Source organism: Homo sapiens, chromosome 1 (genome assembly GCF_000001405.40).
Source record: "Homo sapiens chromosome 1, GRCh38.p14 Primary Assembly".
In the NCBI taxonomy this organism is placed as follows: Eukaryota; Metazoa; Chordata; class Mammalia; order Primates; family Hominidae; genus Homo; species Homo sapiens.
In genome coordinates, this window is record NC_000001.11 from 3,051,706 (window position 1) to 3,076,509 (window position 24,804).

The 24,804-nt window shown below is 59.3% G+C and overlaps 2 protein-coding genes, 1 long non-coding RNA gene and 1 pseudogene across 37 annotated transcripts in view, besides 3 other annotated features; 2 read left to right on the forward strand and 2 right to left on the reverse strand.

Moving 5' to 3' along the window:
- Positions 1 to 3,717: 3,717 nt before the first annotated feature.
- On the reverse strand, positions 3,718 to 23,857 carry LOC124903827 (translation initiation factor IF-2). 33 transcript variants are annotated; one of them, XM_047436584.1, is made up of 9 exons: positions 18,509 to 23,857; positions 16,517 to 17,266; positions 15,632 to 16,343; positions 12,507 to 12,597; positions 10,585 to 12,350; positions 9,886 to 10,108; positions 9,402 to 9,626; positions 8,525 to 8,578; positions 7,912 to 8,032 (listed from the first exon to the last, which is right to left on the reverse strand). In XM_047436584.1, exons 1-2 carry the CDS (start codon positions 20,156 to 20,158, stop codon positions 17,243 to 17,245), a joined length of 1,674 nt encoding a protein of 557 aa, XP_047292540.1. In that variant the 5' UTR covers positions 20,159 to 23,857; the 3' UTR covers positions 7,912 to 8,032; positions 8,525 to 8,578; positions 9,402 to 9,626; positions 9,886 to 10,108; positions 10,585 to 12,350; positions 12,507 to 12,597; positions 15,632 to 16,343; positions 16,517 to 17,242. The 33 variants fall into 33 exon arrangements, with proteins under 33 accessions (XP_047292554.1, XP_047292570.1, XP_047292540.1 ...); XM_047436539.1 differs by adding an exon at positions 8,796 to 8,899 and having other exon boundaries at positions 10,585 to 12,597; XM_047436552.1 differs by adding an exon at positions 8,796 to 8,899 and having other exon boundaries at positions 9,402 to 12,350.
- PRDM16-DT (PRDM16 divergent transcript) lies at positions 7,912 to 16,020 on the reverse strand. Of its 2 annotated transcripts, NR_015440.1 has the most exons (6): positions 15,632 to 16,020; positions 12,507 to 12,597; positions 9,402 to 12,350; positions 8,796 to 8,899; positions 8,525 to 8,578; positions 7,912 to 8,032 (listed from the first exon to the last, which is right to left on the reverse strand). It is a non-coding gene; the product is annotated as a PRDM16 divergent transcript (long non-coding RNA). The 2 variants fall into 2 exon arrangements; NR_024371.1 differs by lacking the exons at positions 7,912 to 8,032; positions 8,525 to 8,578; positions 8,796 to 8,899; positions 9,402 to 12,350 and having other exon boundaries at positions 12,367 to 12,597.
- Positions 8,603 to 9,148: an enhancer, noted in NCBI's record as "H3K4me1 hESC enhancer chr1:2976872-2977417 (GRCh37/hg19 assembly coordinates)". NCBI's record gives its function as "activates a minimal SCP1, AML or CMV promoter by ChIP-STARR-seq in naive H9 embryonic stem cells {active_cell/tissue: H9 hESC(naive)}" and the evidence as "EXISTENCE:reporter gene assay evidence [ECO:0000049][PMID:30033119]".
- Positions 15,817 to 16,391: an enhancer, noted in NCBI's record as "H3K27ac-H3K4me1 hESC enhancer chr1:2984086-2984660 (GRCh37/hg19 assembly coordinates)". NCBI's record gives its function as "activates a minimal SCP1, AML or CMV promoter by ChIP-STARR-seq in primed H9 embryonic stem cells {active_cell/tissue: H9 hESC(primed)}" and the evidence as "EXISTENCE:reporter gene assay evidence [ECO:0000049][PMID:30033119]".
- PRDM16 (PR/SET domain 16) overlaps positions 17,498 to 24,804 on the forward strand; it is a 369,419-nt gene continuing 362,112 nt past the window's right edge. For both annotated transcript variants that reach the window (NM_022114.4, NM_199454.3), the window contains exon 1: positions 17,498 to 17,591. In NM_022114.4, coding sequence (NP_071397.3) covers positions 17,555 to 17,591 — 37 coding nt within the window. In that variant the 5' untranslated portion in view covers positions 17,498 to 17,554. The remainder of the gene's footprint in view (positions 17,592 to 24,804) is intronic.
- On the forward strand, positions 17,953 to 18,992 carry LOC100420339 (opioid growth factor receptor pseudogene; annotated as a pseudogene).
- Positions 20,974 to 21,822: an enhancer, noted in NCBI's record as "H3K27ac-H3K4me1 hESC enhancer chr1:2989243-2990091 (GRCh37/hg19 assembly coordinates)". NCBI's record gives its function as "activates a minimal SCP1, AML or CMV promoter by ChIP-STARR-seq in naive H9 embryonic stem cells {active_cell/tissue: H9 hESC(naive)}" and the evidence as "EXISTENCE:reporter gene assay evidence [ECO:0000049][PMID:30033119]".

Sequence of the window (24,804 nt, forward strand, 5' to 3'; positions counted from 1 at the left end):
TCCATCCATCCATCCACCCAACCCACTCACCCCACCCACTCATCCATGCATCCACCCACCCATCCATCCATTCATCCATCCATCCACCAAGTCACCCATCCATCCATCCATCCTCCATACACTCACCCACCCATCCACCCACCCATCCACCCAACACCCACCCACTCATCCATCCATCCACTCACCCATCCATCCATCCATCCACCCACCCACCCATCCATCCCTCCATCCATCCATCCACTCATCCATCTATCCACACACAAATCCATCATCTATCCATCTTCCATCCACTCACCCACCCATCTATCCACCCAACACTCATCCATCCATCCATCCATCCATTCATTTATCCACCTATCCACACACACACCCATCATCCATCCATTCTCCATCCACGCAACACCTACCCACCCATCCATTCATTCATCCATCCACTTACTCACCCACCCATCCATCCACCCATCCATCTATTCCTCCATGCACACACCCATCATCCATCCATTCATTCATCCACCAATCCATACTCCATTCTTCATCCTTCCAACCTCTATCCATCCATCCATTTTTCACTCATCTTCCATCCATCCGTCCAACAACCATTTGTTGATCATCTCATGTGTGCCACGCTCTCCTTTATACACTGGGGAACAAAGAAAAACAAAACAGACAAGAAGCCCCCCTCTCATGACACCCTCAGAGTTGTGTTGGGCGGGGAGGTTTCGGGACCATTCAGGAAGCTTTTGAGGTGACAAATGTGGGAAGAGGTGGTGGCAGTGGACACAGAAGGCAGCAACTGCCCTTGACGGAGGAGCTGCCCCTCCTGTGGGGATTAAGGCCTGTGTCCTGGGCCCCTCCAGGCCACTCCTTGCAAGGAGGCAGAGGGGCATGGGGTGTGGGAGCAGAGCCAGCTCAGCCCAGGGTGTGTGGGAGAAGGAGTCTGTGCTGGCTGCCCTGCCCTGAAAGGAATCGGGAAGCATTCAGGCCCTTGTGGATTCTGGGGACTGTGGAGCCGCCACACCCCTGCCCTGGAAAAGATGGGGAATCTGCGTGTCCAGGTCAGGGAGGACACCAAAGGTCCACCCTAGGCTGAGTCTGCAGGGGAGTGGCCAGAGTGCCCCTGATCCTCGCCACAGATGGGGAAGGCCATAGGAAAGTGATTCAGCCCCTCAGGCCACCAGGCACCCCCACCCCACCTCGAGGGAGGCTTAACTTCAGGACACCAAGAACTGCCTCAGTTTACTTCTCTGTGTGGGTCTCTTTCACCACACAGCCTCACACAGGGGCATCTGCTGGTGCTGGTGTCCCTTCTCTGTGCTGGGGGCAGGGGTGCCTGGGCTGTGATCCCCTCCTATGGGAACCCAGTTGTGTCTGGGCTCATAACTGCTGTCCTCATGAGTACTGTGACACAGAGAGCAAGAGGCAAGACCCACTGGACTGGAGGGACGAGGGCTTTGGGAGAAGGTGGTTGCATTTGTCCATTCTTGCACTACTGTAAAGAAATACCTGAGACTGGGGGTAAAGTATAAAGCAAAGAGATTTAATTGGCTCACAGTTCTGTAGGCTGTACAGGAAGCATGATGCTGGCATCTGCTCAGCTTATAGGGAGGCCTCAGGAAACTTACAATCATGGCAGAAGGCTAAGGGGGAGCATGAGGCATCTCACAAGGTGGGAGCAGGAGCAAGAGAGAGAGCGGGGAGGTGCCACATGCTTTTAGGCAACCAGATCTTAGGAGAACTCACTATGGTGATGCCAACATCAAGAGGGGATGGTGTTAAACCACGAGAAACTGCTCCCACGATTCAATCACCTCCCACCATGAGAAGCCATCCCTGTGATCCAGTCACCTCCCGCCAGGCCCCACCTCCAGCACTGGAGATTACATTTCAATATGAGATTTTGGTGGGACACAGATCCAAAGCATATCAATGGCCTTTCAGCTCTAGGAAACTGCCCCCTGCAGTACCTGAGGGGCTGCACTCTCCTTGTCCATGTGCAGAGGGGCTCCCCTGGGCAGCAAGAGGGATAGCCCTCTCTGAGTGGGTTTGTGCAGAGCCCACCCCAGCCTCAGACTCCCAGTGGCTAAGCAATGCCCCTCAAGCCTGGGCGGCTTCCACACACAAGAGCCCCTCATCCAGTGCCCTCCAGCCCGGTGTACGAAATCCCTCTTTATGGCATAGCGTGTGCGAGTGGCCCTGTGGCTCTGTGCATATAATTCCTGCACCACAAATGTCAGATGGCTAGATCTCCCTAACAAGGGGGCAGAAACTCCTCCAGCCATCCTCTCATTTCCAAACACTGCCACCATTTGTTTTCAGAAAAGGCCTTGTTTTGCGGATATTTTCAAGGATCCGTTCTTTCTTGGGAGCTCTGGGGTCCGGGGTGTAGCCATCCTCCCCTTGAGGCTGCCTGGAGGCTGAGGGTCAGGAGCGAGTGGGGCTGGGGGCTAGGTTGCTGCCCCTCAGCGTGTCTCCCCAGGATCTGCAGGAGCCATGTCCCTGGCTCTCTCAGGGGACATACCCAATTTTAGGGGTGTGAGTGGAGGCCAGTCACTGTCCTCAAGTACTCAGCAAAGAGCCCCCAATCCCGCTGGTGAAGTTCTCACCCCACCCCCTGCTTCCTCATCCAATCAGGGACAAGGTGGGGACAGTGACCCAGGAATTGCTGCAGCCCTGGAAATCCCTTGGGGCTTAAGCCTCAAATGAAAAGTGAGTAAAATCTAACAAAAAGGCAACATTGTCCATTACTGACTCACGTGGATCTTCGAAGAAGGCACCCAGTGCACATCTGCTGGGGAACAGGGAAGAAATCAGATCAGACCCCACACAGCCCCGCCGGGAGCCCCGCAGCAGGAGGGGACAGAGAAGACAGGTCAAAGAGGGTGTCCTGAACCCCCAAAGAGGCCCGTAGCCCCTGGGCAGATGAGTCACAGGCAGCACAGAAGCAAGGCTCAGAGCGAGGGCACTGCTGGAGAGAGCGTGGCAGAGGCAGAAGCAGCTGGGACTGTCCACGGAGGAACAGACAAGGGAGACATGGGCCAGCCATGCGACGCAGGATGACTCAGTCTTTAAAAGGCGGGAAACTCTGACATGTGTGACAACACGGCTGAACCTTGAGGACATGAGCCAAGTGAGATCAGCCGGTCACAAAAGGACAAATCCTGTGTGACTACACTTCTACGAAGTCCCTGGAGTGGCTACGTCCATAGAGACTGAAAGCAGAAAGGGGGGTGCCAGGGGCTGGGGAGGGGCTATGGGGAGCGACTGGAAATGAGGATGATGACGGCTGCACAACTTTGTGAATGTACCCAATGCCACTGAACTCTACACTTAAAAATGGTTTCAGGACGTGAAATTGTATGTGGCTTGTATTTGATTTCATTTACAAAGACCCAGTCTGGCAGCAGTTGGGCTCTGCACTCTGCACGGAGCATGGTCCTCAGCCCTACATGCAGTCAATGACCCTCTCCCTCACACTAGTCACATCTACAGAGGGGGAGGCTGAGGCCAAAACAGCTGTGACCAGCTCCAGCCCAGAGCGAGGGCATGATGGATCCAGGGACACTCCAGAGCCTGCATACCCACCCACCCGCCCACGCCTCGGGGCTGGGAGCCTGGGGCCAGACACCCGTGCTTCTCCCGTCCAAACATGCGATGTGCTCAGACCACATCTCCAGCTGTCCACACCCCAGGAGAAGAGAGACAAACTCAGAAATCAAATTGATATTTAGAAAATGCAGTTTATTTAATGTGGTGCAGGAAGCATTCCCAACAGTGGGAATACGGGAGACTCCCGGGAGGTAGCAGTGGCTGAGCTGGTTATTGAAGGACAGATAGGATTTTCTTCTCATTTTTATTTTTATTTTTTGAGACAGGATCTCACTCTGTCACCCAGGCTGGGGTGCAGTGGTGAGATCTTGGCTCACTGCAACCTCTACCTCCTGCGCTCAGGAGATCCTCCTGCCTCAGCCTCCTGAGTAGCTGGGACCACAGGAACATGCCACCACCACCCTGGGCTAATTTTTTGATGTTCTTATTTTTAAACATTGTAACACTTCCACCACTAATATACAGTCAGTGGAGAAAAATTAAATGCAGAGAAACATAACAGAGAAAAAAGTTTTAATATTATCAGATCTAATCACCCAGGGAAAACCGCTGTTAATATTTCAGCTGACATTCTTAAAGGTCGCCCCCATGTCTCAGGGACATGTCAGCGTGGTGATAAGCATGCACTCTTGTCACTATGTTCACTGCTGATGCAACACTCCATTGTAGGAAACTAACAAATTTCATTTATCAGCTGTTTCTGTGGCCAGAAGCAGGTCAAGGGGGAGGCTCTTGAAAGATCATTGATCAGGACCCAAAGAACCCTGTGGGGTCAGAGCCCCTGTGTGTGGACACTGTGTGTGGTATCGGGCCTAGACCTAAGAATGGACACAGTCTTTCTAAAATAGCCACAAAAGCCTCGGGTTAAGATGGCAAACTAAACACACACCCATTCAATAGCGTCCCCTCTGTAAGCCCCACTTCAACCACAATAAAGAGATTTCAAAAGGCATCTACCCATAAGGGTGGGCCTCCCTTCTGAAAGCTGAATTGCTGATGGACCTGTGGCAATTGGATCAGAGACAAGAGAAAATCCTGAATAGAGAGCAGGAAGGTGAGATTTTACCAGATTTATAACCAAGGGGAATCCTAACACTCAAGACTGAGTATAAGATTACCTCTAGGGGCCAGGCGTGGTGGCTCACGCCTATAATCCCAGCATTTTGGGAGGCCAAGGTGGGCGGATCACCTGAGGTCAGGAGTTCAAGACCAGCCTGACCAACATGGTGAAACCCTGTCTCTACTAAAAATACAAAAAAAATTAGCCAGGCCTGGTGGTGGGCACCCGTAATCGCATCTACTCTAGAGGCTGAGGCAGAAGAATTTTTGAACCCAGGAGGCAGAGGCTGCAGTGAGTCAAGATCGCACCATTGCACTCCAGCCTGGGCAATAAGAGTGAAACTCCGTCAAAAAAAAAGGGTACCTCTAGGACTTGGGGTGCAAGAGCGGCTACGATCAGGATGGCTTAGTAAAGGGGGATTCCTATCCCCTCCTTATCCTCCCTGAGCGACCACCCCTCCCCCACACCAGCAAAAGTCCAGAGGTTTATTTCCCAGAATTCAGGCAGCTGACTGCAAAGACCCCTGCCTTCAACTCCAAGTTGACTCCAAGAAGACTGGCAGCCAGACCCTCCCTTGCTCCCTGGGTAACTTCTCTGGGAATCAGGTCAGTTCCTAAAGATACTGACATCCAAGGATCAAGGATCACTCCCATTCATGGGTCTCAAGGGCAATGAACCCCTCCTCTCTTACTGTCAGAACTTCCAGTCAGCTCCTCATCATGGGCAGAAAGCCAAGAATCAGCAGATGCCTCAGGAAAGACAGATTGAAACAAACAGAGCAAAGCCATTTGGTGGACACACAGATTATATGTGCAGAAGAAAGCTCATATAAATATCAAGTTTCAAAAATGAAGAAGAAACAAAACAGAGAGTAGAAATCACTAAGAAAGTATTTCAAGAAAATTTCCCAGAGCTAATGGACACAAGTTCTCAGTTGGAAAGAACTCACAGTGGATAAAAACAGACACATTCTAGGGCACATCATTGTGGAATATGGGACCACTTGGGACAAAGAAGATTCTATAAAATTCCAAAAAGGAAAAATCACACTGCACACAAAGTCCGAGGAAACAGAATCTTCCTAGACTTCTCAATAGCTGCCTGGTAGCAAGAAGACAATGGGGCAATATTCTCTAAAATTCTGAACAAAAAAATCATCTCCAATCTGGAATTCTATACCCAGTTCATCCATCATTCTGGTACTGTGGAAGTCCTAAAATATTTATCTCCTATGCATCTTTTATCAGAAGTTACTAGAAGATATGCTTCATGAAAATGAGAAAGTAATCCAACAAAATATGTAGTCTGTAAAGGTAGCAGGAGATGCAAGGGAATTTCCCTAGAGAATGGCCATGGACAAGACGTAGAAGGCAGTCAGTCCATACTGGCATGGGTGGCTAAGGAGCCAGATGTGAGGATGGCCATCACCACTATTCTGTGGTCATTACTCTCTCGTTCTCATCTAGGTGAGATGGGCTCAGATTCTTATCACCCCCGGCATGTCTTTACTATGGACAGATGAAATCCCTATTTCCTCCCCATATTAATTTCTGGTGGCTGCTGTAACAAATTACTACAAATTTAGCAGCTTCAAATAGCACACACTTACTAGATTTTGGTTTTGTGGGTCAGAAGTCCGAAATGGATCTCAGTGTCCTAAAGTCAAGGCATGCATAGGGCTGCCTTCCTTGCTGGAGGCTCTAGAATCCATTTCCTTGCCTTTTTTAGCTTCTAGAGTCTGTCCGTATTCACGTAACTTGGTTCGTGGGCCCTTCCTCTGTCTTCAGAGCCAGCACAGCCAGGGGAATCTTCCTCATATTCTCACATATCTCCACTTCATCCTAATCCTGACTCTCCTGCCTCCCTCTTCCACTTTTAAGGATCCTCGTGATGACATTAAGGCCACCCAGATAATCTGGAATCGTCTCCCTACTTTAAAGTCAGCTGAAAGAGCAACTTTAATTCCACCTGCAGCCTTAATCTGTCCTCCCACTGCCACTCTACACGGTTTTCCCCTCCTCCCCTCCCCGTCCTTCTGCAGCAGCCACACTGGTCACTGGAGCCTCAGGGCCTTTGCACTGGCTGTTCCATCTGCCCCAGTGCTGTTCTCCCAGACACTTGGGTGGCTCCCTCATCCCTCCCTGACGTCTCTGCCCAAATGTCACCACTTCAGTGAGGCCTTTCTTGAACAACCGATTGAAGACTGTGCCTTCACCTCTCTCCTCTTTCATGTCCATTGCACTAGAATCGTCTAGCCTGGCACCCCAGACCCATATGTATTTGGCTTATTGCTGCTTTCCCCATCAAAACATGACCTTGATGGGAGCAGCGTCTGTCTCCATCACTGCTGTAGTCTCAGGGCCTATGGCTGTCCCTGGCACACGGTAAGAGTGCAGTGAATGTGTGTTGCTTGAACAAATGAAAGCCTCACACTGCAGCCTCCTGGACACCTGTCCCTATTAGTCAGCCCGACTTCCCACTGGCTTCCAGCTAATGGTCTCCTTTCAATGCCTGGAGGGCTGAAGCTGGACTCTGGTGTGGCCCATCTGTTCCCAGGGCCTTCATTGGCCCAGAGTACTACTGCCTCTACTTCTACAGCCAGGCAACCACTAATATGTCTTCAGTCTCTATGGATTGGCCCATCCTGGACATCTCGTATAAATGGAATCACACAAAGCGTGACCTTTTATGACTGACTTCTTTCACGGAGCGTCATGTTTTCCAGGTTCATTCATGCTGTAACAAGCGTCAGCTCTTCATTCCTTTTCATGGCGACATAGTATTCCATTGCATGGATATGCCACCTGTTATTTATCCACGTGTGCTGATTTTAATGCTCCTCACTCATTTCAATTTGGTGAAGCTTCTGCAGATGCGTTACTCTGCAGCGAGATTCATTCTAGGCTCTGGGAGACCTGGGAGGACCATAAACTTCTGCTGAGGCCTGCACACATTCTTAGGGAAGGTTTAACAGTCTTTTGATCTCAGACTTAACGGTTCCAAAGCAAAGGCTTTAAAAGCAGTCTGTGGAGTTAAAACCATTTTCACCATTTGGCTCTGTGGACTGGCCCAGGGAGAAACCTTTCTGATGTTCTGGGCCAAACCGAGAAAAGACAGCAGCAAGGATGACCGAACGGGTTTTTCCTATTTAGCAAAAAGCACACCCACTAAAGAAAAATCACTAAACACGGCTTTGATTGGGAAGGCAGCCTTCAATGAATGACATCATTCCAAGAACATAAATCTTAGTTTGTATGATTTATTTATGTTAAAAAATCCACACATGATGCTGGGGTTTCAATGGCTTTGTTTAAGTGATAGTTTTTCCTTTTTAGTGAAAGTTGGAGCGATGATAAACAGCTCCAGCTGTAAAAATGAAAGGCGGAGGTGAAGCTGAGGTGATTATTACAGAAAAATGCTGAGTGGGGAGGGGTATTTGGCCCTTCCATCCTCTAAAATGAAAATTACCCTCTGCCACAACGTGCCACGAACAATTACCTGCTGTTTATTAATTAACCTCTTTTAAAAGCACCGCATTTCTGCAAGAAACTGGTATTTCTCTAATGTGAAAACTGGCTTATTCGTGTTTATTGGAACCACTATGTCCCATGTGGTCCAGGCTTAGTGCACACTTAACTGACATGCATTTTTTTTAATGGCACATTTGATGATTGGAAATACCTTCCTAGAAGAAGCCCAGACACTCAGCACGACTTGCTTGGCGTATTAGTTCTAAACTGAGTCCCCAAAGACCCTGGCTGGAGCATGCGACCTCTCCCTGACCGCAGCAGCCACAGCACAGCCCTGGAGAGCTGCTCCAAGAGTGGGTGCTGGGAAGGAACGGGGCTCAGGACTTACCAGTGAGAGGCGACTCAGGAAATACAGACTCCAGTGGCTGAGTCTTTCTGGACCCTGGCAAAAAAGTGTATTGGTCATTGCCAGAAGGACACGGGTGACCAAGAGGCCAGAGCGCCCTCTGGGTGGCATGACTGTAGTGGGGCTTTCGTGGTGCTCACACTCCCAGCACCAGAAGAGCCCCAGGAAAGGGTCCCAGGCAGGGATCTCTCTGCAGAGGCACCTCTGCCACCCTGCACACCCCGGAGAGCGCCATCCCTGCAGTGTAAGTCACCTGGGGCTTTGTGGTCAGGGTGCTCTTCCTCTGAGTCCTGCTTCTGCCTCTAAGGACAGGTCCTGGCCTAGGTTGCTCAAGCCTCTGAGCATCAGTTTTCCCATCTGTAAGGTGGGCACAATCACAGCACCCACAACAGGACTGGGAAGGCCACACAGCCCCCAGTTGCAACCCAGGGGTGGGAAGTGAGCAGCACAATGCCCAGCACCCTGCCTGGTACAGCACCCAGGCCAGGGAGCCTGTGGGTGGACCAGCTTCTCTCCTAGAACTCTCGCTCTGCCATGGTCCCTGCCCCCGCCCCCCATCCTGCTGGGGACCCCTGAACAAGCCAGCTTCCTTTTCCAAACACAGTGCAAGGGGCCTGGGCAGCTGCTCACTGCTGTGTCCTCGTCACATGGTGCTAGCATTGGCTTACTGAACATAGGACGGCCCTCTGAGACCTGATGGATTATAGAGGTTACAGAGGGGTGGCTCGGCCTCAGACACTCAGCACAGTCCCTGCCCCAGGCTGCTGCCTCCACACCACAGCGTCCTGCAAGGTGGCCCTCATCTCCCTGGGTCTTCCCCTGGGCTGAAACTGCCTGTGGAAACCCCAGGGAAACCTACTGGTTCAGCTCTTCAGTCATTCAGCTGTGACTCATCCATTCTTTCACTGAGGACACAGCACAGCCCAGCCTTGGGCCAGGTGCTGGAGCTTCGGGTAAAATGCCTTGGAAGCTCCAGGTCTGATGGAGCAGACACCCTCCTGTAGATCTGATGGAGGAGATACCCTTCTGTTTAACTCATACCATAGACTCGAAGCTCCAGGAGCACGGAGCCTTGCAGCGCCTCCTGCATGAGGAAAGGAAGGAATGAGTGAACGGAAGGGAAGCGCGGACTTCAGTTGCCAGGAGACCAGCTGGCCCCTAGACATCTCCACCCGACTGGCAGCACCAGGGCAGGACAAGGTCAGGAGGGCAGGGCTTGACTGGGAGCTAGGGGCCCCTGAGCCAGTTAAGGCCTTTGTGGATGAGTGGAGCAGGTGGCTCCTGGGGCACCTGTCCTCACGCCTGGCCCCAACTTGCCCTGTGTCCAGCCAGGAGGTGGTTACCTTCTAGGGCTCCAGCTCAGAGCCTCTGGGAGTAGTGCTGGGTTCTGGGAGAGGAAGTGCAAGAGGGCAGGCAGGAGGGAGAAGGGCTCCCTGCCTCTCCAACAACCTGCAGGGCTCCAGGAACTGCAAGCCACTCATCGGGGTGCAGCTGCCCCACCACAGGGCCAGGCTCTGCCGCCACCGTTCTACCTTGGGAAATTGGACTCCCAGGAAGCTGGAGGGGCTGCCCGAGGGTCCCAGGAGACAGGAGGCAGAAGCTGAGCTTGAGTTCCTCCTGTCTCCCCACTCCCCCAGCTGTCTATGGGCCCTGGGGTCCCAGCACTGAAGGGTGGAGAGGGGAGGGAGGCTGACGGTGTGGGAGGGGTGGGTCACTGTTTCACCTCAGTAGAAGCCCTCCCCTCTTCCCTTGTGCAGCCTACGGGAGCTGCCCTGGGTGTTCCCCTTGTAATTCCACTGAAGTCATGGGGGAGGGGCTGCTGAAGGCTGGACCTGCCCTCTTCACCCCAGTCCCCAGGGCAGGCCCCACCTAGGTCCTCAAAGAGGTGACCTGTGGGGGCTGCAGGGGGCACTATTCTGCACACAGGGGTGTTCCTGCCACTCAGGCCCCTGCTTTGATGAGGAGGCCCAGGGACCCAAAGTGTGGGGGTGAGGGCGCCCCACAGCACGGCACCCGTGAGGGGACTGGAGTTCTTGAGTTACCTGTGCCTGGCTGCTCTCTCCAGCCCCCGGGGCATGGGCGCCGGTGTACTGGCGGCGGCGGGGGAGCAGGCAGCTCTTTCCCAGGAGGACGCCCGAGTGATTCCATCACCTTCGGGTCACTCTACAGAACTGGTCATTTTTTCCCTGCCTGGGGCGATCCTGGTCTCTGCTCTATTCTTGCCGGCTCTTTGAGCCGTGTCTCGACTGCCACCACCACTGCGATTATTGGTTTAGTAGAAAGCAAAGCTCGCAGGGATAGACCCTTGGGTGTCCCTATGGACACCCCACTCCCCTCGGGTCCTTCCCCGTAAGTCCTGCCCCAGGAGGTGGGAGGCCCAGAGGTGAGAAGGTCTGCTCAGACCATGGCCCCCTGCTTCCCACACCCCACCTCCTCCGTCTACACCTAGAATGGTAGTTTGTGCCGGATCCCGAAGCCTCAGCTCCCCAGGCCATGCTGCGGGGCCCCGCCCAGATGTGTGGGAACGCGGCTGCCGCCGGTGCCAAAAGACCTACGTCCTCGGAAGTGGGTACGGGGATGGCGTATTCCCTCCCGCGAGGTTCGTTGTACCTAGGGGAGCCTGGGTCTCCAGTCCTCCCCCGACCCGCTTCCCCGGCAGGCCCTGTCCCCCACCCCCAGCAGCCAGAGCGCCCGGGCAGCCCCTGCCTTCTCCCCAGATCCCCTCCACACTCTGCAGGATTTGGGGTGCTGGGTGGTGTCATCTCAGGTTCGAGTCTGCGCGAAACCTCCGGGCTTCTGGAGACCCAAAGGGACCTGAGAGGAAAGCCCAGGGCGGGCCAGACTCTGCGGTGGGGGTGGGAGGAGGGAGACCCCAGGGGCGGCGGAGTCGGCCCTCGCCCCTCCTCCACCCAGCGGGCGAGGAGAGTTCCGGGAAGGCCGGGGGAGGGGGAGCGAGGGGAGGAGACAGGGACGGGCCGGGCCGCCTCCAGAGCCGCCGTGGGGCGCGCCCTGTCCCGCACGCCTCTGACCCCCGCTCAGCAAACGAGGCCCACGGGGTGGGCGGCCTTGGGCCTCCTCCTGGCAGCTTCCACCCAGCCATTCTCTCCAGCCAGCCCTGCAATAAACTCCCGGAGAAGCACAGGCGCGCCTGGTCCCATTTCACAGACGAGGAAACTGAGGCGTGGAAAAGAAACCCACCGCAGCTCCGTCTCCACGGTTTCACCTGCGGGGTATTAATCTCTCAGGATGAAAGGCAAAATTTGGTTTTGAAGCTAAGAGGGCCGGCAGTGGGGGGCAGGGCGCGCTGCGGAGAGACGGCAGGAGCGGGCTTTGCAAGCCGAGTCTGGATTCCGGCGCGAGCCGATTCCGGGAACTGGCTTGGTGACCCGGCCGCCGGCCCGTGTCCCGGGCTCTGGGCGTTTGGGGACACGGAAGGCGGGCTCCCACCTGGCGACTCCCGGAATGTGGCCGCCGGGCCCGGAAGGCTACGAGGCTCGCCATTTTCGTTGCTGCCAGGGCCCCGCCCGCGCGCGGCCGAATTGGGATCTGAAGGCAGCGGCAGCGTCTACGCAAGCAGCGTTCTGGAGCGTCGCTCTGCCACCTTCCCGCGCGCAGTTCCGCGCGAGCCGCAGGACGCGGGCGCTGTGGGTAACGAAGTTGCTCCCGGTGTGCGCAGACCGGCGGCCCCGGGGTTGCGGGCGGCAGGAGGGACCGCCACTCCACGGCTGCGGGCGCGCGTGAACACACGGCTGAAGGTCATAGGCAGCGCATCCAGGCAACAGCATTCGTTGGCGGATTTTTAAAGGTTCTTAGATCAAGAGGGAAAGCGTGTGAAACCGATTCCGTTTATTGCCCCCAGCGGCGGGGGAGCTCCCCGTTGCAGACACCCAGCGGCTCGGCCACTGCAGCGTCCTGGCCCAGTATGGGCCGCACACGAGTAGGAGTCGTTGGGGGCTTCCTGCACCTTCTCAGTGAGCCCGGTTGGGCCTGGATTCGGCTCCCTCCTGGGCCCAACGGGAGGAGATCAAGGGAGTTCAGGTTCACAGTCTCAATCTCTTAAAACAAAACAAAACAAAAAACTCCGGATTGGGCCCTCGAAGTGCCCATGGGGCATCCAGATACTCCCGACATCTGCGCAGGAGAGCTGGGCACCCTGGTGGGGACGCCAGGACACAAAGCCGGGCAGAGGGTCTCCACTGGGGTGGCCACGGCATCGTGCAAGCCGGTCCCCGGAAGCTGCCCATCTGCAAGGGACAAGGACCCTCTTGCAATCAAAATAAGTCAGTTTCCACACATCTGGGGTTTGTTCGAAATCAGCGACATGGCTCACATTCCTAGGAAGTCCACTCCTCCCAGCTACCCACTCTGGGACCAGGAATCGGGTATCGGCTTTGGGAGGCCCCCACCTTTGAGCAGTGCAGGGAATGGAACCTTGCCACCACTGGGCCACAACTGGGACCTGTGTCCTGTCCTCTCCAAGTATTCTGGGGCACAAGAAGGTTTCCCAGGCCTCGGGTGAGAAGAAGGTTCAAAGGGGCCCCGAAATATTGACCCCAGGGTCTGGGGGGATTCCTGTAGCCCCAGTGTGCGGCTGAGGCATGATGCTGGAGGAAGCACCCACTTCGGGTCATTTCAGAGGTCTCAATAGGGAAGAAATGGCCTTTTCCATGACTTGTGTCTCCCACCCACCCCCACCATTCTAGACCAAACGCAGGCTCCTTCCAGCATTCAGCCCCCATCGAGTCCCCTGCGAGGTATAGGGTCCAAGCAGCCCTCCTCCATGTTCCCCTCTGTCTAGTGGGAGCCAAGTCAGCCATCCCCAAGGGCCCCTGTGGTCTCCTGGCTCCTGCTGCTCAAGTCTGGGGCAGGAGAACATGCCCGGGGAGCAAGAGCCTCATCCTGGCCTGACTCAGTGGCCCACGTATTGGGGGTGGGGTGAGCGCTGGCGATCTGGATCCCACCTGGGGCATTTCCAATCTCCCAGGAAAGCCCGTTGGTAAACCAGAGGCTGTGTGCTTCTTTGCTACCCGGAGGAACAAGGTGGGGGTGTGGAGTCAGTAAAACCTTGACCTGGAATTCAATAGAGCCTGAGGCCAAGTATCTGAAAACCCATGGCTAAGTTCAAAAAGCACAGAGGAGTGGGAGAGAAAGGGGTGAGGTGAGGGGAGAGAAAGTGGGAGAGAAAGAACCTGGTGAGGTGAGTCCATCTTGCCAGGTGCCATGCCTACCTCCTGTCCTGCACACACGGCCCGAAGCAGGGCTCCCTGGGGCCTGAGGGGCTGGGGGTAGGGGCAGCTGGGGCTGCTCTGACCCTGCCAGTTGGCATGGGGCACAAGGCCTGGCCAAGCGAAGGGGCCCTCTAGCCCTTGAATGCATTTGTAGATTCCGGGAGTGGAGGGCAGGCCGGCATGGTAGTTCTGCTACTCAATGGGCTTCTGGGGAACCCCTGGGGCTTGGGGGCCTCCTACTCGCTAATAAGATGCTTCCTCCAGCACGGCAGGACCAGCATTTCTGGCTCTCAAACCCGGCCTTTTCCCTAAGGAATTAACCTGGTCATGGGTCTCCAGCCGTTAGAAACACTGGGAGTCTGCAGGGCTCATGGAGAAATCGAGTTTCCATGGACTCCCTCTCTGCCCAGACCCCAGCAGAAGTTGGTGGTTAAAGCCCCGCTCTAGCCTCCAAGACCCCAGCTATGAAATTGGTTTTGGAACTCGACAGCAGCGTGCAGTTGTCCAGTGTAGGAGCCTCTATGTGGCCAACCCACACTCACTGTCCTTGGACGACCCAAGGAGGTCAGTAGGAATGAGCTTACAGCACTTACAATCCCAGCGCAGGGGCCCCAGGGCCTGGCATCAGCCTCAAGGCTCTGCAGAGCTAGACTTGGTTTGAAAATTGCCCTTAGACCTTTTAGTATCAACCTTTTCCCCACTGGGCCTACATTTGCCCTACCTGTTCTCCAAGCCCCCCAAAGCCCTTGCCAGGCAGGGACACAGAACTGGGCCCCAGGGAGGACTTGCATCTGATCTTCCCTGCTTCACCCTTTTTCCCCACGGGACTCCTCAATGCCTGACCTGCTCTCCGCTTCTAAGTCTGGCCACGCGGGGGCAGGGCCTGGCCAGGCCAGGATGCAACCTCGGCCAGGGCCATGGCCTTGGGGACAGCCTGCCTGGGCTCCTCGAGCAGGCTCGGGAGACACTGCCCCACTGGAGCCAGGGCTGCGTCAGTGCCTTGCAGGTAGGCAGCCCGGCTGTCTCCCTGGCGAGGCTTGACCGGCAGCTACCCCTTCCCAGGCAGATCCATGACCCCATCCCTACCCAACAGCCTGGTGGAGGGCAAGGACCAGATGGCACAGACCAGCTTGCTCCCATACCTCCTGCCCTTCTTCCCTAGGGGCTGGCAACAGGCCAGGGATGGCTGTCCTGTCCTAGCCTGGCCAGGGTTCTGAGAACCACCTCCTGAGCTGGAGGAGGAGGCAGGGAGAGGGCCTGAGAGAGTTGGGGCACCCGTAGAAGAAGGCCAGGACTGCACAACCTTGGCATCTGTTGGCTACCTCCAGGCCAGGGGCAAAGGAGGCCTCTGCTGGGCTGCAGGGTGAGGGTGGGGAAGGGACCCTCTCTGCAGGTGGGAGTGGTTCGCAGGCACCATAGTAACTTCCCCAGGCCTCCTCCCAAACCTGCAGAGGCTTCAGGCAGGAGCAAGGGGGACCTGGGTGCAGAGATATGGGAGTGACCTTGAGTCCTTTCTAGCCAGCAGCTCCAGCCAGGTTGGGCCCACCGTTGGGAACCTGCCCTTGGCGGGGTTTAGGCAAGACAGCGCCCGTGTTCCTGGGCTCCAGCACCTCCCACCCACTGGGGCGAGCAGGTTCAGAACCGGCCTTGGCGGTGCAAAGCTGCAGCGGTGCCCTAGTTGGCTAGGCAGATCAAGACCTCCAGAGCCGGGCCTGTAAACTGAGCTGTTCTCTGCCCCAACCCCTGTAGAAAGATGGTCAGGGTGTGGGGAGGGTGGGTAAAGGGGTCGATAGACCCTCGAAAGGACGGCAGGGAATGGGGCTGTGCCATTGCTCATGGCCCTTCTCTAGGCGACACTCACCTGGTGCCAGAAACAGCAGAGGTAGCGGCCAGTGAGCGCTTCCTCCATCCGGGGCTCGGGCGGCGAGCTGGCTGCAAGACTGGGCACCCTGGAGCCGTGGGAGCCTTGGGAGCCGAATCTGGGTTCGAATCTGAGCAGGGAAGCGGTGCCGACCGCGGAGGATCCAAGGCAGAAGGCCCAGCGCACCGCCGCCGCCAGCTCCTGCCCAACCCGGCTCCGCTGGGCTTTTCCTCTGGGGTGGCGCCGGCCCCGCGCCCCTCCCCATCCGGGGCGCCTCTGCTAGGACACCGGGGTCTCGGGGTTTCTCAGGGCTGCTGCGTTTCACCTCCTTTAACGCGGAGGCGCGGAGTTGCACGTGTGGGTCTCAGTGGAGCCGCCACAGGTCTTATTACACAACAAAGGGCAGGGAGGGCAAGGCCAGGAGCCTCGCGGGGCGGCGCAGAGACCCCGCATCGCGGGCGCGACCCCTGCCTCGGGCTCAGGCTGACTCTGCGGCAGCTCCAAGTCCCGTTGCCGGGCAGGACTTCGGTGCTCCGGAAGGGTGCGGGGCAGCAACCTGGCCAGGGCAGCGCCTCGGTTTCCTTCCAATTCATTCTCGATTCCCAGATACTCAGATGAGAAATCCGCACTCAGGCCGTCAGGCTCCTGGGCCCGGGCCACCCTGCCTGCGCTCAGCCCGGCCCCTCCGCCGCAGCGCCTCGGAGTTTGGGGGCTACAGGGGAAGAGGAAGCGTCTGGTCGGCTCCCGTCCGAGCTGCTCCACCTGCGCCGCTGGCCTTTCCGCCCGCTACGCACCTGGGCCCCGAGAGGCCAGAGGGGAGTGTCCCCAGTGGCCCGGGTCCCCGAAGGTGGCCCAGCTCGGGCGCTCGCGCAGCCGGGTACTCACCTTGGGGGCGCGGCGGCAGGAGAGCGCGGGCGGAGAGGTGCGGGCGCCCTGGGACGACCAGCCGAGGACGCCTGGTGTTTGGACGGCTGCCCCCGCGCTGTCCCCCCGTGCGAGGCGTGTTGGCCTCCGTGGCCTCGCGAGGGACCGAGGGCGGCGGGTCCGAGTGCCGCCCGCCGGCCTGGGCAGTGGCGGAGCGCGGAGCTGGCGGCGCCTCCGCTGTTGTTTTTGAGCCGCGAAGCCCGAAGCAGCAGCCGTTGGGTGGGGGCGAAGGGGAGGAGGCGGGGGCCGGGAGGCGCGAGGGGGGCGGTGGGGCCCGGAGGGGGCTTCGGAGGAGCCGGGTTCTGGCGCGCGAGCCCCGACGCCCCCTCCAGCGATCGCAGGGCGGGGACGGGGGCCGAGGGGAGAATGCAGGAGAAAAGCGGGCCGGGGCGACGGGGAACGCAAAGCTTTTAAATTAGTAATCAAACGCAGTAAAACGGAGCAAAACCAGCCCGGACTCGCGTCCGAACTATCGGCGCGTGTGCCCCGAGATCCAAGGAAGTCGTGTGGAAAACCGCAGCCGCCGCCCCATCTTCGGCCCCGGCTGGGGCGGGAGCAGCAGCGCGACGCGCCGCGACGCAGGGGCAGGGTGGGGGGATAGTCACCTCGCCTCCGGGGCCACCTGGGTCCTTTTAAAGTGTCCGGGGTGCGGGCCCCGGGCGGGAGCGCCGAACACGGAATGTTTTCTTAAAGGGCCAGTTCCGAGCTGCGCTGAAAAGGGGGGGGGGGAGAGGGGGGAGAGATAAGTGAGACGAAGACCGAGAAGGCCGAGGAGAGCCCCCCAATCCCGCGCCGAGGCGGCGGCGGCGGCGGCGGCGGCGCGACGATGAGGATGATGAATACATTGCAAAGTTTTTTTGGCCCCGGCGAGGGGTGTCAGATTGAGTGCTCTGTGCGCATGTGCGAAGGTGTCCAAACTGACAATGCTGGGGAGATGAAGATAGTGTGTGGCTGCTTCTGGACTCAAGGAGGAGGAGAGAGATTCCGCGAGCCGACACCATGCGATCCAAGGCGAGGGCGAGGAAGCTAGCCAAAAGTAAGTCTCCCGCGCTCGGCCGCGCCGCGCCGCCGGGGCCCGGGCCGCCGGGCCGGGGCGCCCGGGCCAGGGGTGCGCGTCGGGGCGCGGCCGGCGCGCCTGCGGCTCCGGGCCCCCGGCTCGGCCGCGCGGCCCGGGGGGCTGCTCCGCCTCCCGCGCTCCGGGGCGACCGGGCTCGGCGCGGAGGCTCGGGGCGCCCGGGCCGCGCGCTCCCCGAAGGCGCCGGCCCCCTCCCCGCGGAACCCCCTCCCCCCCCACCAGTGTCAGGCGCTCGGGCCCGGGAACCCGAGGCGCGCGGTGGGGGCCGGGGAGGGGGGCGGAGGGGGAGGGCCGGGGGTGGAGGGGAGCGAAAAGTGAAAGTTAGCGAAAAGTTGACGAAAGGGGAGAGCAACTTTTTCCTCCCCGCTCGCTCTCTCCCTCTCTCTCTCCGAGTGGCTCTCAGTCCTGGTCAAATCATATTCCGGGCTTTTGAAATAGTGGGCGCTAGAGCACCGCCTTTGGCGTCCGCCAGCCGGGCGCAGAGGAGGGAGACCCCGAGCCGGGGAGGGGCGGAGGAGGGGGCGCGGGCCGGCGCCCACCCGGCTCCGCGGGCGCAGGGGCAGGGGTGGCGACGGCGGGACAGCCGCAGCCACTTGGGGAGCAAAATGGAGACTTTTGCCCGGGCTGGGAACTGTGGTCGTGAAGTTTATCCCCGGCTGTGCCCCGCGTGGTGGAGGGCGCTCCTCTGGGACGCCGGCAGCCTGCGCGGGCCGCCGGGGCGACAGTGCCTCCGACAGGAGGGACCCACCCGGCCACCTCCCGACCCGCCGCTGCCGCCCTCGGGCCCGCGTGGACCCCTCTGTACCCGCTTGCCTGGCACAGCCGGGCCCGGCGGGGACAGAGCTGCCCCGGCCAGGCTGCCCGGTCCTCGGTCTTACTTTCTCTTTCGCTCCGTCTCGGCCGAGCCCCGGGCTCCGCGCGCCCCGCCTGCCGCCAGCCGGTCCTTGCCGCGGGCCGGGTGCTCCAGCCACCCGCGCCCTCGCCCGCCACAGCGCCTCCGAGCAGCCCGCGCGCACCCCGCAGCCCCGGTCGCCGGCGCCATCCGCGGTGAGGCGGGCGGGCAGGTGAGGACAGGCGGAGCCGCGGCCCGGCCAGCGCGGCTCCCGCAGCCCCGCCGAAGCCCCGGCTGCAGCGAAGCGGCCAGCGCCGCGCGGAGCGGAATCGGCGCCGCCTGCTCCCGCCGCCCCCTCCTCTGCAGGCCGCCCGCCCGCCCACCCGCAGAAGAGGCGCCCGGGCCGCTCCCCTCGAGGTCCCCGCCCGACCCACGCCGTTCCGTCCGCGCCTCCGGGGCCGGGTCCCTCCAGGCCGGCCTCGCAGCTCCCGGGGCCGAGCCCCCAAACGTGAGCCGGGTGCGCGCGGGACTCGCGGCGGTTTTCCGAAGCTCCGCTCCCTCGGCTCGGGGCCCGCCCGGCTCGTCCCAACAGCTGCCCCGCGGCCGTAGGCCCCGCGCTCTGTGCACCAGGGAAAAGCAGCTCCCGAGTTTGTGCCGGACGCTCCTGCGCCCCGCCATCGGCCGTTCCCGGCCCCTGGGTGAGGCGCCCCCTTCCCGCCGCGCTCCGCTGCCGGGTGCCCTCGGCCTCGGCCTCCCGTGACCTCTGACCCCTCTTGGTGCGAACAAGACCGGGCGTTTCGCCGCCGACGCGAAGGGGCTGTCTGTGCGCGGCGTTGCGGGCCCTCCGCGCGTGGGGTGTGCGTGTGCGTGTTCGGGTTCGGTTCTGTGTGTGCACCGCGGGCCTGCTCAGAGTCGGGACCACCGGGCTGCGTGTGGGCCGCCAGGTCAGGCCCTCGCCCAGGATGGGCCCTAAGCTGGAACGAGAAAGGGGAAACCGGCCGCGCTGACGCCGGGGCCTTCGCTGCAAGCGAGAGGCGGACTCGGCGCACCCGCGCGGCCCTGGAAACTTCCGAGAGGCCCCAGCTCTCCGCCGGCTCCACCTCTGCCAGGTGGGGAAGGTGGCCCGGGACCGGGTCCGCTCAGGACCAGAAGTGGTGCCTGGCAGCCATCTGGCCAGGAGGCCGGAGAGCCGGGCCCAGCGGGAGCGCCGAGCGCTGGCTTCCTTTTCCCGAGAGTCTTTAGTGAGGAAAAACCCCATGAGAGGTGACTGCCAGGCCTCGGCCCTCTGTCCACACTTGGCCGAGCGCTGGGAACCCCTCCTTCCAGGCTCCACAGCTGGGACCGCTTGTCCCAGGCCCCCCAAGGTGGCTGAGGCAGGTTCAGGATCACACTGCCTGCCCTGAGCAAGAAGGCAGGATCCGCTGAAGAATTTCATTTCATCAGGCGATATTTTAAGCAGATGTGAACTTCCCCGGGGACCATAGTCCATTACCCGAGTCAGAGGCGGTAGGGCCAGCACTCCAGCCAGCAGGTCCTCCCCTCCCCACAATGCTGACCAGGTCAGGGGACTGTGGGGTTGGGCAGGGGCAAGGTCATGGTTACCAGGTTGGTATTCAGGCTGGGCACAGAACAGCAACCAGGCCAGTGGAGGTGACCCCATGACCCAGCATTTCGGGGGCCACCGCCGAGTGTGCATCTGGAGGTGTAATTTCGTTTGTGTTTCCCTGGAGACCCCACTCCAAGCCTCAGTTCAGGTGGGTTAGTCCTCTGGATTGGGTCTTGTGAAGGGCCAAATGGTGGCGGCTCCGGGGGTGACCCGGGCTTCCAGCTGAGCTTTCCAAGGACAGAGGTGGCCACTGGGGCACCCAAGCCGGGGCTGTGGCTCAGCTGATGGGAAACCTACAGCCTCCTCCACCTGAGCCTGGGGGCCAGGAACAGAGTGAGGACAGTTCAGGGACAGGGTCCCCCCTACTGAAGCCAGGGCGGTAGGGCCGGTGGGGTAGGGGCTGCTGCAGCCCCACATTTACAAACTCAATGCTTAACAAAAGCTTATTGTTTCCAGGGCTGTTGTGAGCCAGGTGGGCAGGTGGGGGGTTAGCACCACCAAGGTGCTCTCTGGATCACCATCGCCCTCATAGCACAGCTGGGGGCCTCTGTGCAGGAGGAGGATGTGCCAGTCGGCACCCCCATCAGAGCTGCTCCTTGAGGCCTGATCCCCACCTAGGTGGCAGACCCCATGTCCTAGATGCCACATACCCCAGGGCTGGGGGAGTGTCCTCTCCACAAGTCCCATCTAGCCCCTGGGGTGGGGGAGCTGCAGCCCCCACTAGATGGGGACTGTGTGTGTCTTGCTCGTGTTTGAGGGTGATGCGTGTGGAAGGTGTGCTGGAGACAGGGTAGAGGTAAGCGGGGCTGGCGGCCCAGTTCACAGCCTCCTTCCTTCTTCGTAGAAACAGGCCAGGCTGGCTGGGCCCTCCCTTCTCCCACCCTCCCTGGGGCAGTTGGCCCCGTCCACCAGTCCCCTCCCCAGAGCCAGGACGGCAGCCTTCCCTCTGAAGGCCGGTTAGGGCAGCAGCGCCAGGACGTCCGGCGGGAATCCAGCGTCTTGCCCCGCTTCGGACGAAAACACAGAGGCTGCGGTGGAGGGGTGGAGTGCGGGGCTGGCCGCCAGGGCTTGGTGCCCCACGGCAGTGGACTGTGTGTCACCCACAGGCCCCCTCCCTCAGCCCCTGGCTGCGCAGGTGTGCCATGGCTCGGAAGCTGGCAGGAGGGGCTTGCCAAGCTGGCTTGTGGAGCAACTGCTGGGTGGGCTCCTTGGGGACAGGCACCGGCCATGCCTGGCTCGCCAACCACCAGACGCCCACTCGGGGGGTCCTCCTTGTCCTGTGAGCGGCTCTTCCAGAGCAGGTGCCAGCCCGACATCCTGGCCCCTCCTGGCCCCGAGGCTTCCTCGGCTCCCAAGTCCTCCTGTAGGCAGTGCGCAGGGCAGGGGACCAGGTCTGCCATTTCTGCCGGGAGGCTGGGTGAAGGGGACCCAGCAGCCAGGGGCTCCCCCCACCGGGCCCCTCAGGGGAGGTGAGGCTGGTGGCAGCTCGCTGGGCCGCTGTGGGCCCGATTAGCCCCCTGTTTTATTCAATTAGGAGGCAATTAGGGATCCTTGGGGGGCTTGGGCTGGTAATTAAGGTGATGTATAATTAGAGTTTCAACAAAAATTATCCGGGATTAAAAATCTTTTGAATAATTTCGTTTAAAATTTTCAAATAGCGTTAAATACAATTTATCAGGTTTTGAATCAAACCCGTGTAACGAGTCTTGGAAGCTGCAGCTCCCGTCGCCGGCGCGGGAGGACCAGGAGCAGCTCCGGCGACTTCCCCGTGCGGGAAGGAAACTTCGCGAGCGAAGCCAGCTGGCTGGGGCCTCGCCGCGGTGCAGCGGCGGCCGCGGGCTCAGAATCGAGCCACCGAGGGCTGCAGACGGCGTGGGCCGGGTCGGGGAGCGGGGCCTGGGGGACCCCGGGCCGGCCGGTAGTCTCGGCCGACTTCCCACTCCCCGCGCACAAAGTCGCGGCCAACTACCGCGGAGCAGCGCCCGCGTCCACACCGCGCAGCCTGGCGCCCCGACCCTGGCCCAGCGGGAGCGGCGCTCTCCCCTTCTAGAGCCCCAGCTTGGACCCCGGGGTCCCCTCCTCCTGGCCTCCCTTGCGGAGGAGGGCGGCCTCCGCGTCCCCAACCGCCGACCCTCGACCTCGTGCGGGACACCGTGGGCGCCAGGCCCCCCGCTTGCCTGGGTTCCCTGCGACATCCCGACCCGCGCCCCGAGAGACGCGGGAGCGCGCGCCGCCTGGGTTTAAGTAGGGGCTGTAGGGGGAGGGAAGACGGTGCAGAGAAACGGAGGCAGAGGGTGGGGGTCTGGCTTTCCAGGGTAGACCCGCCTGCCCAGTCTGATCCGCAGCCCCGGCCCCTGCCGGCAACCTCGGGAGACGGGCCGGGCTCCCTAGTGCACTTGGGGGACAGGACACCTCCTCCCTTCACTGACCCTGGGAAGACAGAGTGCAGGCGAGCAGGCACCACTTTTGAGAGTGAGAAACCCCAGACGCAGAGAGGTGGAGGAACTCTTGGGAGGGCACACAGCAGATTGAGGCTCCAGTGAAATTCAGTGGAATGAAGACCTCCAGGGCTTCTTATGTAGCATTCCCCTCCCCCACAGAGCACCACAGGCTGCCGTTAATTCCATAGGGTTTTTTCTGTGTGTGTGTGTGTGTGCGCGTGTGTGTGTGCGTGTCAGGGTTTAAGCATTTTCTCAAGGCCAATGCTCAACTTGTAGCAGGTCTGTTCTTAAAAAGCAGGCAGGACATCACGTGCGTCCAGCGTGTAAGTGACCTCACACCTGCAGGCTGGACTCCCGCTGGGCTCCGTCCCCCACAGCTCCTGCCCCTTCTGTGGGTGTTCTGTCCCCAAGGGCAGGCACAGAGGAGCAGAAACCTTGGTCGGGTGGCCTGGCCTGCACCCTCCACACTCCCTCGCTCACTGCCTTCATCCGGAGCAAATGCAGGAGGCTCAGGTTGGCCCGGGAGGTGTAGGACCTGCCCTTTGCCACCCCTCAGATCTGGAGGGGAATAACCACCACCCACCGCCTCCACCCACCGCCCAGCAGTCAGGGGGAGGTGGAGCTGCTGCTGCCCTGTTGGTCTGAGCTGCAGGGTGGAAGGGGCCGGCTGCTGACATCCCTGGTCCAGCCTGGCGTGGGCCACGGCTCCTGAAGTCTGGGTGTCTCCTAGGCTGCAGCCAGGGCCACGGTGGTCATCCTGGGCCAGGAGTGCTCCCAAGCTTTGGTGGGCCCAGAGCAGGGGAGGAGTGGCCTCTCCCTGGTCTGACCACTTCACTCTTGGGCTTTTGCCATCAAATCCTCCACGGTCTGGAGGTGCCTGGGCTGGCCCGCCTGGCCGGCCTAGCCTGAGACGCGGGAACAATGCCCCGAGGCCTGAAGATAGGAGTGCTGGCCGCTCCAAGATCATATTTGTTTAATAGTTAACATTTTGGGCAGAAAAGGAGGGAAGTCAGATTCTGGTGAAGGTTTTGCTTATTTTATATCCACTATAACTATTTCTGTCCATGAAAATTGGCTTAATTATATCAATGGAATGTTTCTTTTTCAATTCTGTATGCAATTAGTCCATCTTGCCGGCTGCAATTTATTTTAATAAAAAAATAAACCAGTGGTGTGTTCAGTTCCTCGTCCCCTGGGGACAAATGCGATTGGTGTGTTTAATTTCATTAACTACAATGCGGCCTACTGGAAAAATGTATAAAATCAGCTTTATACAGCTTAAACACTGGCATTTGAAACAAATCATTATTGCATTAGCTGTCACACTGGTAATTCTAGAATCTAAGGAAAAAAATATATTATGGCTGTTTTTATAACCCTTTGCAAATGCACTGTTAAAATAATTTATAATCATTTTAAAACATGGCTGGGTCCTAGTGACTATTTCATCTCCTCTGAATAAGGCTCTGTGCCGTCCCATGCGCGTTTTCCGCGCTGATGGCGGTGCCGTTTCCGAACCTGCACACGCACCTCTCAGAGTGGAGGCCGTGGAGCCTGTGTTGAAACGAACCCGGTGAGGAGGGGTCCCTTTTTCATTCTGGCCTGAACCCCACTCGTCAGGCGGAGCAGTGGGTGCGGCGACAGGCTCATCTGCGATCCACCTCGGGCCAGAGGGGACCCCAGAGGCCAGGGCGGCAGAACCTCAGCAGCTGCTGCCCACCATCCTCCTGGGGGAGGAGGAGTCACGCACTAGGCTTGACCAAGAGTGAGCCAAGCCCCCCACGCGTGGGGTGCCCACTTCAAATGTGCAGAACCAGGAGCAGCCTCTGCTCTGCCCACCTCGAGGCCCTGCTTGGCAAAGCGGCTTTCTGAGCCTGCTGTGAGGGAACCCACCAGCCCCGCGCTCCTCTCAGGATAACAGGCTTCCCAGCACACTGTGCAGCTCCAGCCCGTGCTCTGTCAAGCGTGGGTGTGTGAAGGGGTGTGTCCAAGCACGTGTGTGTGTCCAGGTGTGCGTGTGTGTTGCGATCCACGTCTTTGCCGCAGCCCTGGCCACGTCTGCACTGACTCTGCTGGATGAAGGGAGGGTGTGGGATACGTGCTCCCTGTCCGGCTGGTGGGGACCTGGGGCTCTCAGAGGATCTGTTGGGGCGGGGAGATGAGGGAAGAGTTTGCTTTTCCTGCTTCTGAGATGTGTTCTGAGGAAGCTGAGTTGTGCCACTGAAGCCCTTGCTAGTGGCCGCCGGCTGGTCCCCTGCGTGGAGTGGCTCAGGGAAAGCGTCAGGGCATGCAGGA